Source organism: Homo sapiens, chromosome 9 (assembly GCF_000001405.40).
Source record: "Homo sapiens chromosome 9, GRCh38.p14 Primary Assembly".
NCBI classification, from domain to species: Eukaryota; Metazoa; Chordata; class Mammalia; order Primates; family Hominidae; genus Homo; species Homo sapiens.
In genome coordinates this window covers 113128459-113146951 of record NC_000009.12, presented here as the reverse complement: position 1 = coordinate 113146951, position 18493 = coordinate 113128459, and the positions used below count along the sequence as shown (strand labels likewise).

Below are 18493 nucleotides of genomic sequence, written 5' to 3'. Positions count from 1 at the left end.
GGCTGCAGTGAGCAGAGATCACATCACTGCATTCCAGCCTGAGCAACAGAGTGAGACTCCATCTCAAAACAAAACAAAACAACAACAACAAACACACACACAACATAAAATTTGCTCTCAACTATTTTAAGTGTACAGTTCAGTATTGTTAATTATATTCATTAATTATACATCATGTAACCCATATCCAAGATGCTTTTCATCTTGTAAAACTGAAATTCTATGAACATTTAACAACTCCCTATTCCCTTCTCCCCCTGCCCCCGACAACCACCATTCTACTTTGTATCTCTATGATTTGAATGTCTCTCGATACCTCTTAAGTGGAATCACATAGTATTTGTCCTTCTGTGACTGACTTATTTCACTTAACATAATGTCCTTAAAGTTTGTCCATAGTGTGGCAGGTATCAGACTTTTCTTCCTTTTTAAGGCTGAATAACATTTCTTTGTAAGTATATATGATATTTTGCTAATTCATTCATCCACTGATGGACACTTGGGTTGCTTTCACCTTTTGGCTATTGTAAATAATGCTGCAGTGAATGTGGATCTATAAATACAATGTTTTAAAAAAGTGAGTGCTTATCTAGAAGCTTGGCCCTGTACTTCTTTTCAGTCTCATGAAAAGAAGATAGGAATGGACCCCCTCTCTCTGTCCCTGTGTAGGCTTCCTGCTGCATTCAGAGTTCTGAACGTATCCCCAAAAATCTCTACCTGATCCCGACTGTACGCCATTTCCTAATCTTACAGAGATTTGGCAAAGCGGGTTTCAGCTTGTGTACAGTAAATTTCCTCTACAGCAGGTTTTCCTCATCTTGAAGAAATAAACGGATTTTCACCCCCAGGAACCCTAAAACCGTTCAAACAGGAGCATCTTGTTGATATCCCCATGTTGATCTACTATGTATATTTTGACTCCCAATGTATCACAAACCAAATGATCATTTGGTGCTGGAGGAAGGACCCAACTGGAAAAATCTTCTGACTTATCTTTTGGAGTAAGGTAAAGTATTCATTTGACCAGATGAAATGGCTGACATTTGACCATTTTTAACCTGAAAAAAAAAAGGCAATTTCATATATAGTTCAACCAATAGCTGAGGCCACTGTAGGTAGACTCCCCACCCACTGTGCCTGAGTCTGAGAAGGAAGAATGCCTAGCAGATGTAAACCACCTGTCTCTGACACATTGCCGTGGGGGAGACAGCTAGGGAGAAGCTGGTTCTGCTCCGATAACAAAAGGTGTTTTTCTGGTGGTGGGGAGGGGTCAGGGAGGCACTTGAATGAATCTTAGCTCTGGTCACAGTCTGAGGCTGGTGGTTAGTATTATGTGTACCCACCAGGACAATACCTTTGAGACACAGCCCTGTCCCTTCTGTTCTCTCTGGATGGGGAGGATGGGACTCCAGTAGCTAATCAGTGTCCTGGGAGGAATCCATTTGTATCATGTCTGTTTTGAGCAACCTCCATTCTAAGAGGCAACATTCCCAGATCTCAACTCTGCAGCCACCAATTAGGGATTGGGGCAGAGGGGCTGGATAGTTAGTACCATTTCTATCTTTTTCTTTTTGGTTGAGACTCCCCATATATAAGCTCTTCTTTTTAAAGCAGTTAGTATTGAGAAATATTTAATTTAGCCAAACAAAGAAGGTGTGTAAATTTGGCAGTAAGTTGTTGACACATCCATGTCACACTATTACCACGGTGATTCAGAGGCAAATCTGAAGAATAGGATGATAAGCAGTTGATACTTCATTCACTCAACAAACACCTTGCACTGTTTGGGGTCCGGGTTTTGCAGGACAGAGAACAAACCACCTGGTAGTTGACAGGTCAGGGAGGCTTTTTTGGGGGAAAACTCAGTGGTCCAGGCATCTCTCCCAAACATGCTTAAACGGCCCCTTTGGAGATATCATAAGTGATTGGTGGAGATATCATAAGTGATTGGTCAGCAAAGCATTGTGGATGAGGGGTCACCTGTGTGTGTATGGGGATGTGAATTGTGTGCACAGTGTGTATGCAGATGTTACAGTATGTGTGAATGAGTGTGTGTGTGACTGCATGGGAGTGTCTGCATGTGTGTTTGGTGAATTTATGATTCTGTGCCTGGGAGTCAGAGTGAGTGCTAAGCCTCAGTTTATATGAGCAGATGTATGAGCTAAGAATGTGGGTAAGTGCTGGAATGATGTGTGAGTGAACATGAGGGTCTGAGAGTGTGGCACTTCAAATAAAGAAGAAAAGGCCAGATCGGGCGCGATGGCTCATGCCTGTAATCCCGGCACGTTGGGAGGCCGAGGCGGGTGGATCATGAGGTCGGGAGTTCATGACCAGCCTAGCCAAGATGGTGAAACCCTGTACTAAAAATACAAAAATTAGCATGGCATGGTGGCAGGCGCCTGTAATCCCAGCTACTCGGGAGGCTGAGGCAGAGAATTGCTTGACCCCGGGAGGCGGAAGTTGCAGTAAGCCGAGATCATGCCACTGCACTCCAGCCCCTGGGTGACAGACTGAGACAGACTTTTGAGACATCTCAAAAAAAAAGAAGAAGAAGAAGAAGGAGAAGGAGAAGGAGAAGGAAGAAAGAAGAAGCCAGGTGCAGTGGCTCACATCTGTAATCCTAGCACTTTGGGAGGCTGAGATAGGAGAATTGCTTGAGCCCAGGAGTTCGAGACCAGCCTGGGCAACATGGTGAGACCTAATCTCTATAAAAAGAAAAGAAAAAAAGAAAGAAAAAAATGGGGAGGGGAAGGAGAAATGGGTGGATGCTCACTGCTGGCCATGAGAAATTCCCTAGGAGGCAAATCCGGGTTGTGAAAGCTGCAGGGTTAATGGCAATCCACATCCCTAATCCCTTATTTGGCAAACTCCAGAACCAGCACTGCTTGCAGCCAGAGCCTGGATGTGTCTGTCCAGACCTGGAGCCAGTCTGTCTGGGTTCCCACTCTCATATCAGCTCTTGAATAGTCTGTTCCCATTTCTTCATGCCTGGAGACAGCTCCTTTATAGACTATCTCCATCTGTAAGGCCCCTGCCTACTTTGCAGAGGGGAAGGTAGGGCTGTCAGCTTCCAGAAAGCAGCCTAGAGTTGCTTCTGTATAAATAGGTTGAGCATAAGGACCATGTAAAGAGGTCATCTAACCTGTTTCTCCAGTAACTGACAGATAGCTGTTTCTAAAGAGTGATAAACAGAGCTCTAGAGAATTCAAAGAGCCTTTTCCTTCAAAGGGATAAAGTGTAGTGGATGTACCCCTGGGCTGAGACTCAGGAGACCTGACTCCAGACTGTGCTGAAGACAGGAAAGTCATTTTCCACCTCTGGGGCGCCCCTGCAGGAATAAACATAACCTATAGTACCGAATCGCTAAATCTCATTTGTCTGTGTCATTAGCACATGATACTTGTAATGAACTGTCAACTTGTCTGTCTCTGCTGCTGGAATACAGAGTTTTCCACTGAATTTCCAGGGCCTGCTTGAGCTTTCCATGTATATTAGGGACAACAAAAATTGTTATCTAACGGTTATTGCACAATTGCTGTGTATCTAATTCTATGCTACCTACTTCATGTGGATTATTTTTTCTAATCTATCAGCACAATAACCAATGACATAGGTGCCATCATGATCCCTGTCTTTTTAGAGAGGCCAAGTAGTTTGCAGTAGGGCACACAGCTGGTGAAGGGCAGAGCCCAAGCACTCTGATTCTGGAGGCTCTTTCTTAGAGATGAGCAACAGGACCTTTCTTAGGAGGTATATCAAGGTGCTCAAAAGAGGATTAAATGTTGTTAAGTGGAAGAAGCTGTTCCCTGCATTTGCCTGTCCCCCAGCCTCCCACCTGTGAATCCCATTTCAGGATTCAGTTTCCCTCACCCTCAGTAGGACACTGCACTCTCTTGTGGATACTTTTTCTGAACATCCTTATGGTGCTTTTTCCTCATTTTTACCATAGTGATCCTGACTTCCTATATGTCATTATGGGCTATTCCAGAATGGGCATGATGGCTCACACCTGTAATCCCAGTGCTTTGTCAGGCCAAGGTGGGAGAATAACTTGAGGCCAGAGCTCAAGACCAGCCTGGGCAACATAGAGAGACACTCCCATCTCTACAAAAAACTAAAATATTAGCTAGGCATGGTGGTGCATGCTGTAGCTCTAGCTATTCAGGAGGCTGAGGTGGGAGGATCACTTGAGCCCAGGAGACAGAGGTTGGAGTGAGCTATGATTGTATCACTGCACTGAAGCCTGTGTGCCAGAGAAAGACCCAGTCTCTAAAATGAAAAAAGGAAAAAGAAAAAACATGTTAGGTTGACTAAATATCAAAAAGCCAAGGATCATTCTGAAAGTCTTCCTCAAAGTGACCACATTATATATATATATATAATATTTGTTAGAGATATATATTATGGGTTGTTCTGCATATGGTTCCATAGGTTAGTGATATATATTAGTTAGATATATATTTGTATAAAATGAAAGCATATGTTCACAGAATCACTTGTACATGAGAGTTTATTGTTGCTGGAAACAACCCAAATACACATTGACAGGAAAACTGTATCTACACAGTGGAACCCTACTCAGCAACAAAAAAGACCAAACGTCATAGCTCAGTCTAATCTCAGAGACACTGAGTACATACTGTATGATTCTATCTAGATGACCTTCCAGAACAGACAAAACAAAACTGTCTTGTCTTGAATAAAGTTGTTCAACCATCTCTGCATCTCAGTTTCCAGCTTGTAAAATGGAGATGTAAACTAAATATATGAGTTTATTTATACACAATTGTGTATAAGTATTGTATATTGTATATTGTAAAATATCTTGTACATTATAAAATGGAGATGTAAACTAAATACATATATATTTATATATATGTATCTAATATATATCACTAACCTATGGAACCATATGCAGAACAAAGTGTAAGAGTGAATAGAGTTGTAAGGAAAACACATTTTCCTAAAGTAACTCTTGCTCTTCCCTCAATTTGGACCTTTAAAAATGAGGTATAATTTAATAAGGTATAATTAACTTACTAAACAAGTTATAACATACACTTTGGTGAGCATTGATAAATGTACACATCTATAAAACTATCGTCCTAAACAAGATATAAACTTTTCCATCACCTTAGAAAATTACCTTGTGCCTCTTTCTATTCAATTATTCCCACCACCCCTCCTCCCCTCTACAACCATTATTCTGATTTTTATCACTATAGTTTAGTTCTGTCTGTTCTGGAAGGTCATCTAAATAGAATCACACAGTATGTACTCACTTGTGTTTGGCTTCTTTTGGTAAACTATTGGGGGAAATTCAGCCAGATATCGGGTGAAATTCACCCCCAATATTTCACGTAGGTTCTTTTCTATATTCCCTAAGTGTCGGCCGGTCTGAGAAATAAAGGGACAGAGTACAAAAGAGAGAAATTTTAAAGCTGGGTGTATGGGGGAGACATCACATGTCGGCAGGTTCCGTGATGCCCCCTGAACCATAAAACCAGCAAGTTTTTATTAGTGATTTTCAAAAGGGGAGGGAGTGTACGAATAGGGTGTGGGTCACAGAGATAACATGCTTCACAAGGTAATAAGACATCACAAGGCAAATGGAGGCAGGGTGAGATCACAGGACCACAGGACCGGAGCGAAATTAAAATTCGCAATGAAATTTCGGGCACGTATTGTCATTGATAACATCTTATCAGGAGCAGGGTTTGAGAGCAGACAACCAGTCTGACCAAAATTTATTAGGCGAGAATTTCCTCATCCTAATAAGCCTGGGAGCGCTATGGGAGACTGGGGCTTATTTCACCCCTACAGCTTCAACCATAAAAGACAGCCGCCTTCCGAAGCGGCCATTTCAGAGGCCTACCCTCAGGGACACATTCTCTTTCTCAGGAATGTTCCCTGCTGAGAAAAAGAATTCAGCGATATTTCTCCCATTTGCTTTTGAAAGAAGAGAAATATGTCTCTGTTCTGCCCAGCTTACCAGCAGTCAGAGTTTAAGGTTATCTTTCTTGTTACCTGAACATTGCTGTTATCCTGTTCTTTTTTCAAGGTGCCCAGATTTCATATTGTTCAAACACACATGCTCTACAAACAATTTGTGCAGTTAACACAATCATCACAGGGTCCTGAGGCAACATACATCCTCCTCAGCTTACGAAGATAACGGGATTAAGAGATTAAAGTAAAGACAGGCATAGGAAATCACAAGGGTATTGATTGGGGAAGTGATAAGTGTCCATGAAATCTTCACAATTTATGTTCAGAGATTGCAGTAAAGACAGGCATAAGAAATTATAAAAGTATTAATTTGGGGAACTAATAAATGTCCATGAAATCTTCACAATTTATGTTCTTCTGCCATGGCTTCAGCTGGTCCCTCCATTTGGGGTTCCTGACTTCCCGCAACAGTAAACCCAGTGTCTCTGAGATTAGACTGAGCTATGAGGTTCGTTCTTCTTTATTGCTAAGTAGGGTTCCACTGTGTGGATATATTTTTCCTGTCAATGTATATTTGGGTTGTTTCCAGCAACAATAAACTCTCATGTACAAGTGATTCTGTGGATATATGCTTTCATTTTTATTCAGCAAATACCTAGGAGTGGAATTGCTGTGTCAGTCTATTTTCTCTGACACTCAGAGGTCCTTTGCAATTCTTAGAAATACTGCTTTATTAAAAAACGTGATTACTTAAAATGACAAGTCATCACCATAGGGCCTGGAGATTTCCTGGAGCACAAATGCTTGTGATCCTTTAATTATGTTGAAGGGCTCCATTCCAGCACATGAGGCGGTATATTCAGCGCTCTATTGTAGTTTCATGATAGCTTGGGGTAGGCACAGAAAACCAGAACAAAGAAAGAATATGACCTTCACACAGAACTGTATAAAACTTCTCAGAGTAATTATCATTTGAGTCGAGCAATGGAAGACACTAAAATCACTTGATCAGTATAGTCCTTTGGAGAGAAGACTCGGACAGGACTAAATAAGGAATCAAAAACAATAGTTTGGGTCTTGGCTAAGCTGTGTCCTGTGTGACCTTATATAAAGTCATTCAACAGTCTCTGCATCTCAGTTTCTAGCTTGTAAAATGGAGATGAAATCTTGTGAGATGATGACAGATATTCTCTGTCCCCTGCACAGGGATTCTGTGGGACAAGGTAAGATAAAGTCTGCCTAAGTCTCATCCTGGATAAACTGTAAAGTGCCATGCAAAATGAGATAACATCATGTGAAGAGAGGCAGGAACTCACACAGAGCTTGTTTTGTGCTCCGATGACTGGCACTGATTGTCACAAGAACTCAGCTGCCCTTGTTTCAGGGACATTGAACAAGGTCAAACACAGTGACAATAACTCTTTGTGAGCTGCCAGTTGGGCCCGGATGTCCCTCTCCATTGTGTTCATCTCTGCAACGGGGGACTGTTGGGCTCTGGATTCTTCTACATCTGTAGGAGAATCTTTCCCAATGGCACAGCTACCTTCCCACCCCCAAACAATAGGCCCTCAACTCTCTCGGTCCTCACTCATCTTTATTTACCCAACCCATTCTCAGTTCCCCACTGCAGGTGACAAAAAGTTGAATGTTTTATGAAAAGTCTGTTTGGGGTAGTTCTAGCCAAAGATGTCATGGATAAATCTTAAATGGATATAGGAGGTAGTGCAGGCAGCATCATATAATGGCTGTTATTGATTGAGTGTTTACCTGTAAGTGCTAAGGGCTCACAACTACCCTATGAGTTGGGCAGTATGATTAGCCTCAGTTTACAAATGGTGAAATGGAAGCAGTTTTATGGGAAGAACTCAGGACTAGGAGTCTTAGAATCTGAGGGTGCCACCGTTGTCACTACCTGGGCCTGTTTCCTTATCAATAAAATGACAGTGAGGATTATCTTCTTTTAATCTCTGACATCTTTTCTAACACTGACATCCTGTGAGTCCATGTTTGACTCTGGGTGAGTCATACAGCCTCTCTGAAACGCTTTCCTCATCTGTAAAATGAGAGAACCATCACAACCTGGCTGCTCTTTCCCAAAGTGCCATTGTGACAGTGCCCGGTAAGGAGGGAATTGTGCTGAGATGCTAAGTGTATGTCTCTGTTTTCTCTCCAAGGGACCTGAGCCCATAAAAAATGAAGGGTACCTGTGATAAGCAGAAATCAGGCACTGCCTTAGAGGCATTTGCTTGGTAAGGAGTGAATAAATAACAGAGATTGTGAGACATTTTGATATGAGAAAACCTTGGGGATCATTGTGTTAAATACTTTCTATTTGATAGTAGAGAAAACTGATGCCAGAAAAGATAGTGCCTTCCCTGAAGACACTTAGAGGGCAAAGGAAGAGCTGGGGCTGCAGCTCTGGTTCACTGACTTCAGGTATTCTGGTCTATCAGGAACACTTCCAAGCTTCTTCTTCTTCTTTTTTTTTTTTTTTTTTGAGACAGAGTCTCCCTCTGTCACCCAGGCTGGAGTACAGTGGTGCGATCATAACTCACTGTAACTTCCAACTCCTGGGCTCAAGCAATCCTCCTACCTTGGCCTCCCAAAGTGCTGGTATTACAGGTGTGGGCCACTGTGTCCAGCTGAAGCTTCTTACCCTCCAGACACTGACCCAATGTGAGATCTAAATCTCCAACAGGACACCACAGTGGGGACAATACTTTGGCCCCAAACTTTTGAAAGGCTGAGGAGGGTCATTTTCCATTCCTGTCCCTTTTTAGGGACAGTACAGAACATCTGTTATGCTCTATGAAAGAAAGCACAGTGTGAGCTCCACACCTGCACTGTTGCCCTTCTCTGAGGTTCTTGGATTTAGTGGGAGCCTTTATTCAAGCTGGGATCTCTCCTAGGAGGCAGCCTGTTTCCTCAAGTGTGACTTTCCAGGCGTGGCTCTGCAGATGAGCCTAGGTCAGTGGTACAGCAGAGGGAGGGAGGAGCGCTGGCCTGGGATCAAGGGACCTGACCTGCCAAGGACCAAGCAGTACTGGTGGCAGAGCAGAGCTGGAAGCCAGCTCTGATTTCATCACCACAAGGTCTCCACCTGCCTCTGACTGCTTCACCATTGTACCTATTCCCACACCAGTGCCATGCATTGAGGGCAGCTGAGAGTGTCCGAGGAGCAGCGAGGGTGAGGGAACTGCTATTCAAAGGCAGATTTTGCCTGGACTGTCAACTTTGGTAGGTCTGAACTGAACATTCCCTGGAGATGAACCAGAAGTTGAGAGACAGGGCAGGCTACTGGCACTGTCTAGACTGGCTTGGCCAGTGTAATCAAGGATCATAATCTTGGCTTCTGAGATGCTTCAGAGTTCAAACATTCCTTTTCTGGATTTTTGCAACCTGGATTCATAGACTTCCGGGTGTAAAACAGCCACAGAAGTTATATGCAAAACTTTATGTGCGTCAGTGCAGGGGCACTTCTCTCTCTCGAGAGGATCCATAATTTTAATCAGATTCACAAAAAAGAAAAGAGCAGCAATTCCTGCATTAAATATCTCTGAGCAAAGGAGAGAAATGATCTCAGAGGGTTGTGCAAAGATCATCTTGACAATTCTTCCAAGAAGAATGAAGTTCTACCAGTTTCCTTTTTCTTCTCAGAAAAATGGGCTTTGTGAAAGATAGGGTGTAAATATTTAAATTTCAACAGCTGTTTAGTAAAAGAACATGCTTTTTTTAAAAAAAAAAAAAAAAAACAGGGTGTCGCTATGTTGCCTAGCTTGGTCTCGAGCTCCTGGGCTCAAATGAACCTCCTGCCTCAGCCTCCTGAATAGCTGGGATTACAGCACGCACTACTGTGCCCAGTTTAGGAATCTACTTTTCATCTGCATTGTCTCACTGACTGTCCCAAAAGTGATAGTCCACAGAGGCTAAACAGATTTTCTAGGTTGTACAATTTCTAATGACCAGTTTCCAGATCTTCTGACACCTGCTAACAATCTTTCAACTCCAATTCTGAGACCTGGGCTTGTCCTCCCGCCCTGGGCTGCAGCTGGCCCTCCTTGTCCTGATTGTGAAGCTGAACCAACTCTTCTCTTACATAAAAGATACCAAGGAGGGACTGGCCTCCATAGGGTCTTGCTGCTGAGGTGTTTGGAACACTCCTGAGTTAAGAAACACTGAGCTGCGGCCTGAAGTGCCCAGCATGGCAGTGGCAGTTTTTTGTTAATATTAAGAACTATCTCCCATGCACATGGAGAGGGGCTGCCTGTGTCCCTGAGACAGAGATGTCCTCATATGCATGGTCTGGATGGGCACCTGGGAAGGGAGGGGTGAGAAGGGCCACAGAGCCTGTGTCCAGTGCCTGGGCCTGTCACAGCTTACACAGCTACTGGTGCCACCTGGAAACAGAACAAGTTTCCTGGCTCCCAGACCACAGAATTTCCCCTCCCACCAAACTACCCCTCTGAGGTGTCTTCCCTAAACTACTTGAGTAAGCCCAATAGTTGGAAGAATGACCCTCGATCTCAACTTCCACTCCACTCCTCTACTTTCCGTGTCATTTGAGGAATGTGTGAGTAACCTCTGGGGTGCGAGAATATCCCCAGTGGAGAAAAAAAGACAAAATAAGATCATGATTTTAGCTGAACCCACTTAGTTTTATGAGTAAAAGTGTCCTTTATTTCTAAAACAGTATTCTAGAGCAGATGAGATACATTCACATACTTTTAAAATATCTATTGAGCGTACCTATGTGCCAGCACAGGTACGTGATTAGAATTCAGTGGTGAATGCAGCATTTACAGTCCCTGTCTTTGTGGATTCACAGCCTTGAGGAGAAAACTCAGAGGAGAAATGGCTGGCCCAAGGTCACAAGGTTGCTGGTAAAGACAGGGGCATCCTCCGAAGGTGGATCATCCTCATGTTGGTTCCTCTGGCCAGGCTGAGGCAGATGGGGTCAAAACCTCCAGATTGTCTGTCTCCATTATGTATTTCCCAAGCCAGAGAACACAATTCCCATCATGGTTGGAAGCTGAAACCAGGTTTGGCTAGGAAGGGCATTTCCTCCCTTAGGCACTGGGCTGGATGCTGGAGCTGGGCGGGGAACACGAACGACCTGCCTGGTTCCATGAGAACGGTTGTGTCCCTATCCGGGTGTTTCATCCTGGCAAAGGAATGAAGCCCCGCGCCCTGGGTAGGTTTCAGCAGCTCATGGGAAAGCCACCTGGCCTTGCTGGCTGGCAGGGCTTCTCTGTCCCTTCCCAGTTGCCAGGCCATTCCCTACCCCAGGCACCAGCTAAAGGACTGCATGGTGAGCAACCGTGCCCGCACTGTCACTCTGAGGCCCAAATATGTGCAACTTCTGCATCTGTACCCTGTCACCACTTTATTAAAATGATGTTTTAAATTTCTGTATTTTTCGCTACACTATGAGACCCCAGAAGTGATTAAATGTTACTTGCCTTAATCAGAGGAAGGATGTGTGCACTCATCATACCCCAAATACAGGGGCAAGACTGAGGAGCCATTTCAGATCAACAGTACACTGAAACATATTAAATGCTTGGTACTACACCAGATGGTGCAAATGCAAAGATAGATAAATCATGTTTCTCATACACATGAGAGGCAGGTATTCACATGACAATGGGCCAAGATAGAAACAGTGCATTGGGAATGTAGCGATACATTTCAACTTGGGAGAAGAGGAGGTGGAGACAAGAGAAGGCTTCCTGAATGCAGCAGTGTCACTGGAGCTAGGCCCCAAACATTGAGCAGACATTCCAGGAAGGAAAACTACTGGAGCAAAGTCATGGAGGTCTTACAAAAGGGAAAGACCACCACTGTAGCTCGTAACACTCTGGCACAACCTAGGGGCCTGATAATTGTGTGTGCTGAGTGCCCTGCCTAGTCTGCTGGGCACTGATGCTGCTGGTCCCTGGATTAATAGAGGCAGTGATGGCCTCCACCCCAGGCAGCCATCTCCCTCTCCACATCAATCAGGGAACAACTCCTCTGAGGATTTCTTAGGTGTCATCCAACCAACAGCCAGTTGGCTTATGACCAAAGATATGAACAGGGTTCCCCTCACACACCAATGGGTTTGCTTTGAGGAGCACATTGTTCCCTGGATGCTAGGACGCCTAAAATTACCAAAATGTTCTCCATATAACATTCAGTATGTGACACTGCAGGTATGGACATTTGCATACTTTTGTCCACATGTTCATATACACACATGCATTTAATACACATATGCATTTGTGTTCATAAAGATATCTTAATGCATATGTATACATGCAAATGCAATTGACCATGTGCACACATGCCCATACCTGCAGTGTTTGCAGTATGCAGTATTGATCCAGTACCATATGTACATGCAACCAACCTTTTGTGCCCAGGGTGGGGACAGCTGCTGCCCTTTGGTCTTGCTTTGTGCCACCGTCCACTCAAGTTTCTGCTGTCTTTTACATTTGGTCTCCTTTCCACCTCTCATCTCATTGCCTTTGTTTCAGTCACTGCTTACATCTGACAGTCTTTGAATTCTCTTTTGAAGAGTCTTCTGAAAATGCTGTAGGCTCAAGTGAGACTTTAGGGAGCAGAAGAATACTTCCTAGATTCACTCCTTTAGTTGGAGCTTTTCCTGCATGTGGTGGTGGTGGTGGAAGCTACTTCTTCATCCCTGACCTGTAGGCAGAATAAAGATGTCTGTTTCCTCACACTCAGGGGAGGTGCAATGGAGGGTCATGAAAAGATGGCATCCTAAGATGTGTTCTCTCTCCTTGGCACAGCTAGGTTGGCATGTCCTTGTCAAGTCACTTGGAACCAGCGTGGTAGAGGTCTCTATATTTAAACTGCATCACCAACCTGAAACTGCCATTCCTGGAAGCAACCTCTATCTGGTTCTTCTTGTAAAAGAGCCTCTTGTGAGGGGAAAATGAGGAAGACCCACACTGGCTGCCTCAGACAGGGATCTCCACATGGAAAGTTGCACCAGGAGCTTCTCACCTTCCTCTCCTGAAGGGTGGGCCCACAATCCAGGATGGCTCCTTTCCTTCTGGAACCTGTGTGCCTCCCTGGCCCCCATGAACTCTAAAGCTGGTATTTAAGATATTTAAGAGGAAGACATAATACAAAGGATTATTCCTAATTCTGAAAATTAACTCTTTAAATCCAGTGACTTTATCCACTGTTTTATGGATAAAGTGTGTGTGTGTGTGCCTGTTATCCACTGTTTAGTGGATACAGTGTGTGTGTGTGTGTCTGTTATCCACTGTGTAGCGGATAAAGTGTGTATGTGTGTCTGTTATCCACTGTTTAGTGGATAAAGTGTGTGTGTGTGTGTCTGTTATCCACTGTTTAGTGGATAAAGTGTGTGTGTGTGTGTGTCTGTTATCCACTGTTTAGTGGATAAAGTGTGTGTGTGTGTGTGTGTGTGTTGGGGGTAATCTAGTATGTGTTTACTTTAAAATATTAGGTTCCTATGAATTTTATAGATGTAACAATGAATTTCAGGTACACTTTTTGTAACGGAATAATTTGATTGAGCTGAAGAACCACATTTGTTGCTACTGTTTCATAGTGCCAGATTGTGTTTGTTCAGAGACAGAAGAATATCTAAGTGCATCTGTTTCCTCACAGTCCCAATGCCACTGAGTTGCTTCTTTCCGAAGATTAGGAAAAGTGGCATATTTTATATTTCTTTAACTGCTAGTAAAGGTGTCATTCTTCTCGCCACTTGAAGATCTATAGTCTGTGTTTTGTCTAGCATGCATATTATATATAAATTTGGTATATATTTAAGTAGTAACCTTTTATTTTTTTTTGAGATGAAGTTTCACTCTTGTTGCCCAGGCTGGAGTGCAATAGCGCTAATTTTGTATTTTTAGTAGAGACAGGGTTTCTCCATGTTGGTCAGGCTGGTCTCGAACTCCTAGCCTCAGGTGATCCACCTGCCTCGGCCTCCCAAAGTGCTGGGATTGCAGGCATGAGCCACCATGCCTGACCGAGTAGTCACCTTTTATCATATCAGCTCTTACAACTTTTACCCATTCTGTTCCTTTATTTTATACATTCCATTATATTTTATATTAATAGTCTCACAGAATGTTAGTTGCTAGGAGCATGCTACTCACCAAGTATTTATGGACTGAAGATATGTTGAGTTAGAACAGACAGGTGGCATTGAGGCCATCTAGTTCAGGAGCCTAAACATTCACACATAGAAAATAAGGCTTAGTAGTCCCAGCTACTCAGGATGCTGAGGCAGGAGAATTGCTTGAACCCAGGAGGTGGAGGCTGCAGTGAGCCAAGATTGTGCCACTGCACTCCAACCTGGGTGACAGAGTGAGACTCTGTCTCAAAAAAAAAAAAAAAAAAAAAAGAAAGAAAGAAAGAAAATAAGGCTTGGAACAGTTCAGTGACTTATGACTTAGCCAAGGTTACAATGGTAAATCCAGATCATTAAGCCAGACTTATGTCCAGCAAAGTTCTAATTACCACACCAACTGCCTCAACTCTAAAGCATGGTTTCTGTGTTTGTACTACTGATGTTTTGGTCCAGATTGGCCAGATAATTCTTTGCTGTGGGGAACTGTCCTGTGTGTTGCAGAACGTTTAGCAGCATCCCTGGCCTCTAGCTTCTGGGGGCCACAAGCAAATGCCCCCACCTCTGAATTGTGACAACTAAAAATATCTCCAGACATTGCCAAGTGTTCCCTGGGGGACAAAATTGGCCCTGGTTGAGAACCACTGCTCTAGCAAGAACTAAACATTTCCTATGCATTTGTGGGAGTGATGTGAGTTTCCACAGCAGAAGTTTAGAATGGGAGCCCAGCACTCCTCTCAGGCGGCTGGAGAATATGGTAAAATCCATCATGTTATTGCTGGATGGAGGCAACAGTTCAGACCCTGCAAAGTGACACGGCAGAGAGCCAAGCAGGCTTTCCCAAGATAACAAGAGTTAAGCCTTGGCGAGATCAGTACCAAGGACAGCTCAAGGACACTGGCTTTTCAGACACTTTTAACTAGAGGTCTTTCAAGCACAGGTAGTTTGGATTTGAATATCCTTTCCCCTACTCACCCACTCCACCAGAAACTGTCTGTTCTTTAATGTTTCCATGTGGAGATCCCTGTCTGAGGCAGCCAGTGTGAATCTTCCTCATTTGCCCCTTACAATGGGCTCTTTTATAAGAACCAGAAAGTGATTGCTTCCAGAAATGGCAGTTTCATGCTGATGATGCACTTTCAGAGCTAACCAACGTAAGCTTCACCCCCACAGTATGAGATTACTATTATTATTCTAATGTTACAGATCTGGAAGCAGGCTCAAAGGTTCCCCAGCCCAGTGTTACACAGCTAGAAGATTCTGGGCTTCAAGGTTGGAAAAAGAATATTGGCTTCAATGTCTGCTCTTTCCCCAATGCCTGTGCCAGGCAAAGCTTAAGCATCATATCCTCTATGAAGAACTTCCAGAAATTCCTTATCCTCATTAGAATTGACCACTGTCTCCTCTGCCCCACACCTTAAACACACACACTTCACACCACCACAGCATCTATAATCCTTTATGGCACTTGTTTCTACACCTTTCTGTGCTAAATTATAGACCTCCCTAAGGTCAGGCCATGTGTCCCCAGTTACTAACGTGGCATCTGACACACATGAGGGACTTAATAAAGGTTGTGAGTAAATAGATTCAGAGGAGCTACTGAATCAGTAATACGGACAGGCTTCCACGATCAAATCCTTTATAGGCAGGTCAGCAAGAAGAGTTCTCTAATTCCTGATACTGAACCCTTTTCTTGTAGTCTTAAAAAAACATGACCCAAGGGATGATTTTGGCAAATGTGGAAAACAAAGTTTACTGACTCCTAGTATGATTTTCTACGTTGTTCACACCACTGTCAGAATGACAAATTAAAATGAAAAAGTGAAAGCTACTAAACAATGTAACAGATTTAGGTTATTGAATTTCCCATTTTTAAGGTTAGAAAAGAAAATCCTTAAAGAGACAAAAAACAATAAAGGGCAGAATTAGTCCCTGAGTATCTCTGTAAGACAGGAAGGTCAAGCTTTGGAGAGGGTCTGGTTGATCTTTGAGGTTGGATACTGCTCTTCAAGGCATGACAAGCATCAGCTGAAGGAGAACAGGCTCTCTTGTTTGTAAGGCAGCTGATCTCACTTATGTCAGATCCTTAGCCCCTGTGTAAGGCGGTGCTCAGGTGTGCCACCCACACAAGCTGAGTGTGTCCTGAGAAAGCACCTATTTTTAGGTTACAGAAAGGCAATCTAAGGGCCAACTGTGGCCCGGAGCCCTGTTCACTCTGGAGTCTTGGACAACCCTTCACCTTTCCTGTCACCCAGGCTGGAATGCAGTGGCTTAATCTTGGCTTACTGCAAACTCCGCCTCCCAGGCTCAAACGATTCTTGTGCCTCAGCCTCCCAAGTAGCTGGGATTACAGGTGTGTGCCCCCAGGCACAGCTAATTTTTTATAGAAATGGGGTTTTGCCATGTTGCTCAGGCTGGTCTCGAACTCCTGGGCTCAGGTGATCTGAAGAAGGAAAGAAAGAAAGAAGGAAAGAAGAAAAGAAAGAAAGAAGAAAGAAAAAAAGAAAGAAGGAAGAAAAAAAGAAAAAGAGAAAAGAAAGAAAAAGAAAAAGAAGAAAGAAAAAAGAAAGAAAGAAAGAAAAGGAAAGAAAGAAAGAAAGAGATCTGAATGGATAAATGGATTGAAGACTGAATGGAGAGAGATCAGTCAGAAACCAGTCCTGGATAAGAAATAAGGCACAAACTATGAACAAATGGCAGTTGGAGTTGGTAGAGGGACAACTCTTCCCCATTTCTGAAATTTCCTTCCAGGGTAAACTATGATTTGCATGCCCTGTCTCCACCCTTTTGTTCTTCCCCAGGGAGGAGTAACTTGATACAATTTGGAGAATAAGAAACTCAACTCAGCTCCTCCCTTTCCCCTCTTAGAATCAAGCTGTTCTCAACGGCCCCGGTGACCTGGGTCCTCTGCTGCTCCTCTGTGCAGTCGGTCCAGGCAGGCCTTCTACATAGGAGTCTTACCCTGGTCCACGGCTGCCTCTGATGGTGGGAAGTCTGTCTAATTCCAGGCTGCAGGCAGTTGGCTGATTTGGTTCTTATATTCTGCTATATCCTCCAACTTAACTTACTCTTTTTTTTATGCCACCTGTCTTTGTGTTACTTCTCAGCTTGTTGATAACTGGGGCTAGGAAGGGGATGCTACTGATTGACTACCTTTTATACCCTACAACAGAGAGTACAGATAGAACAGGGGAGAGCCCAGAAATATTAAGGAGAGAATGTGTTTATTCAGCAAATATTAACTGGCACCCATTAATGTCAGGATCAGTGCCAGGTGTTAGGGAATCAGCAGAGACCAAATAGACAGCATCCCCTCAGGATGATTACAGTCAGGCTGGAAAGTTAAACAAGTAAACAGTTATGGCAATGTGCAAAAAGCATTTTAAGAAGGGAACATATTCCAGGCATAGATTAGAAAACAACCTAATCAGAAATAAGGTTTTATGTTTTTGTTTTTAATTCAAAAGTAATACATGCTTACTGTAAAACTGTAAAAAAAAAATCAAGTAATGCAAAAGAAAAGTAAAAAGTTTAGAATATCACCCCTTCATCCCATTCCCTAGAGGAAACGACTATTAACAGTCCGGTATATGGTTTTCAGGAATCTTTTCTTTATAGCCACAAAGACAAAATGTATTTATAGAAAATGGGAACATACCATACTTATTGAACTAGAATTTTTGCTCTCTTCATTTAACACACTGTGGTTGCCTTTCCAAGTTCATTAATAGTGATTAAGTTATCTTTAAAAGACCTGCCTTGTATTGCATATCCAAATCTTATTATATGGATATACCATAACTTATTTTGCCAATATGATAGGTGAATGAATCTCATTCCTTTAATTTGTATTTCTTTTTTTTTCTTTTTATTCTTTTTTTAGGCAGAGTTGCTCTCTGTTGCCCAGGCTGGCATGAAGTGGCATGATCTTGGCTCACTGCAACCTCCTCCTCCTGGGTTCAAGCGATTTTTGTGTCCCAGCCTCCCAAGTAGCTGGGACTACAGGCGTGTGCACCACGCCTGGCTAATTTTTGTATTTTTTGGTAGAGACGGGGTTTCACCATGTTGGCCAGACTAGTCTTGAACTCCTGGTCTCAAACGATCCGCCTGCCGTGGCCTTCCAAAGTGCTGAGATTACAGGCGTGAGCCACCACGCCTGGCCGGTGTTTCTTTATTATTGAGCTTGAACGTTAAGTTTTTTCTGTGACCTGCCTGTTCCTGTTTGTAAGTATAAATGCAAAGTAGACATAAAAGAGGTGAATTGCTCAAGCTTAGGAAATACCTGGAATGCCCAAGAAGCATCCTTCTTTTCTCTGAAGACTTGCACATTCTAGTCTTGAAAGTAGAGGGGGATAATATTGAATCTAGACACCTGAGAAGACAATGTACTTGGCTAATCCGCAAACTCCTTTATTATTTTAATAACATTCCAGT

At 43.2% G+C, this 18493-nt stretch overlaps 2 annotated features.

Annotated features, from left to right (window-relative positions):
- Nucleotides 8422–8617: a silencer, noted in NCBI's record as "fragment chr9:115900615-115900810 (GRCh37/hg19 assembly coordinates)". NCBI's record gives its function as "represses an EF-1alpha promoter that drives an FKBP-Casp9 reporter gene in an ReSE screen in K562 erythroleukemia cells {active_cell/tissue: K562}" and the evidence as "EXISTENCE:reporter gene assay evidence [ECO:0000049][PMID:32094911]".
- Nucleotides 14829–15123: a silencer, noted in NCBI's record as "tiled region #7760; HepG2 Repressive non-DNase unmatched - State 22:ReprW". NCBI's record gives its function as "represses a minimal TATA promoter and a strong SV40 promoter by Sharpr-MPRA in HepG2 cells {active_cell/tissue: HepG2}" and the evidence as "EXISTENCE:reporter gene assay evidence [ECO:0000049][PMID:27701403]".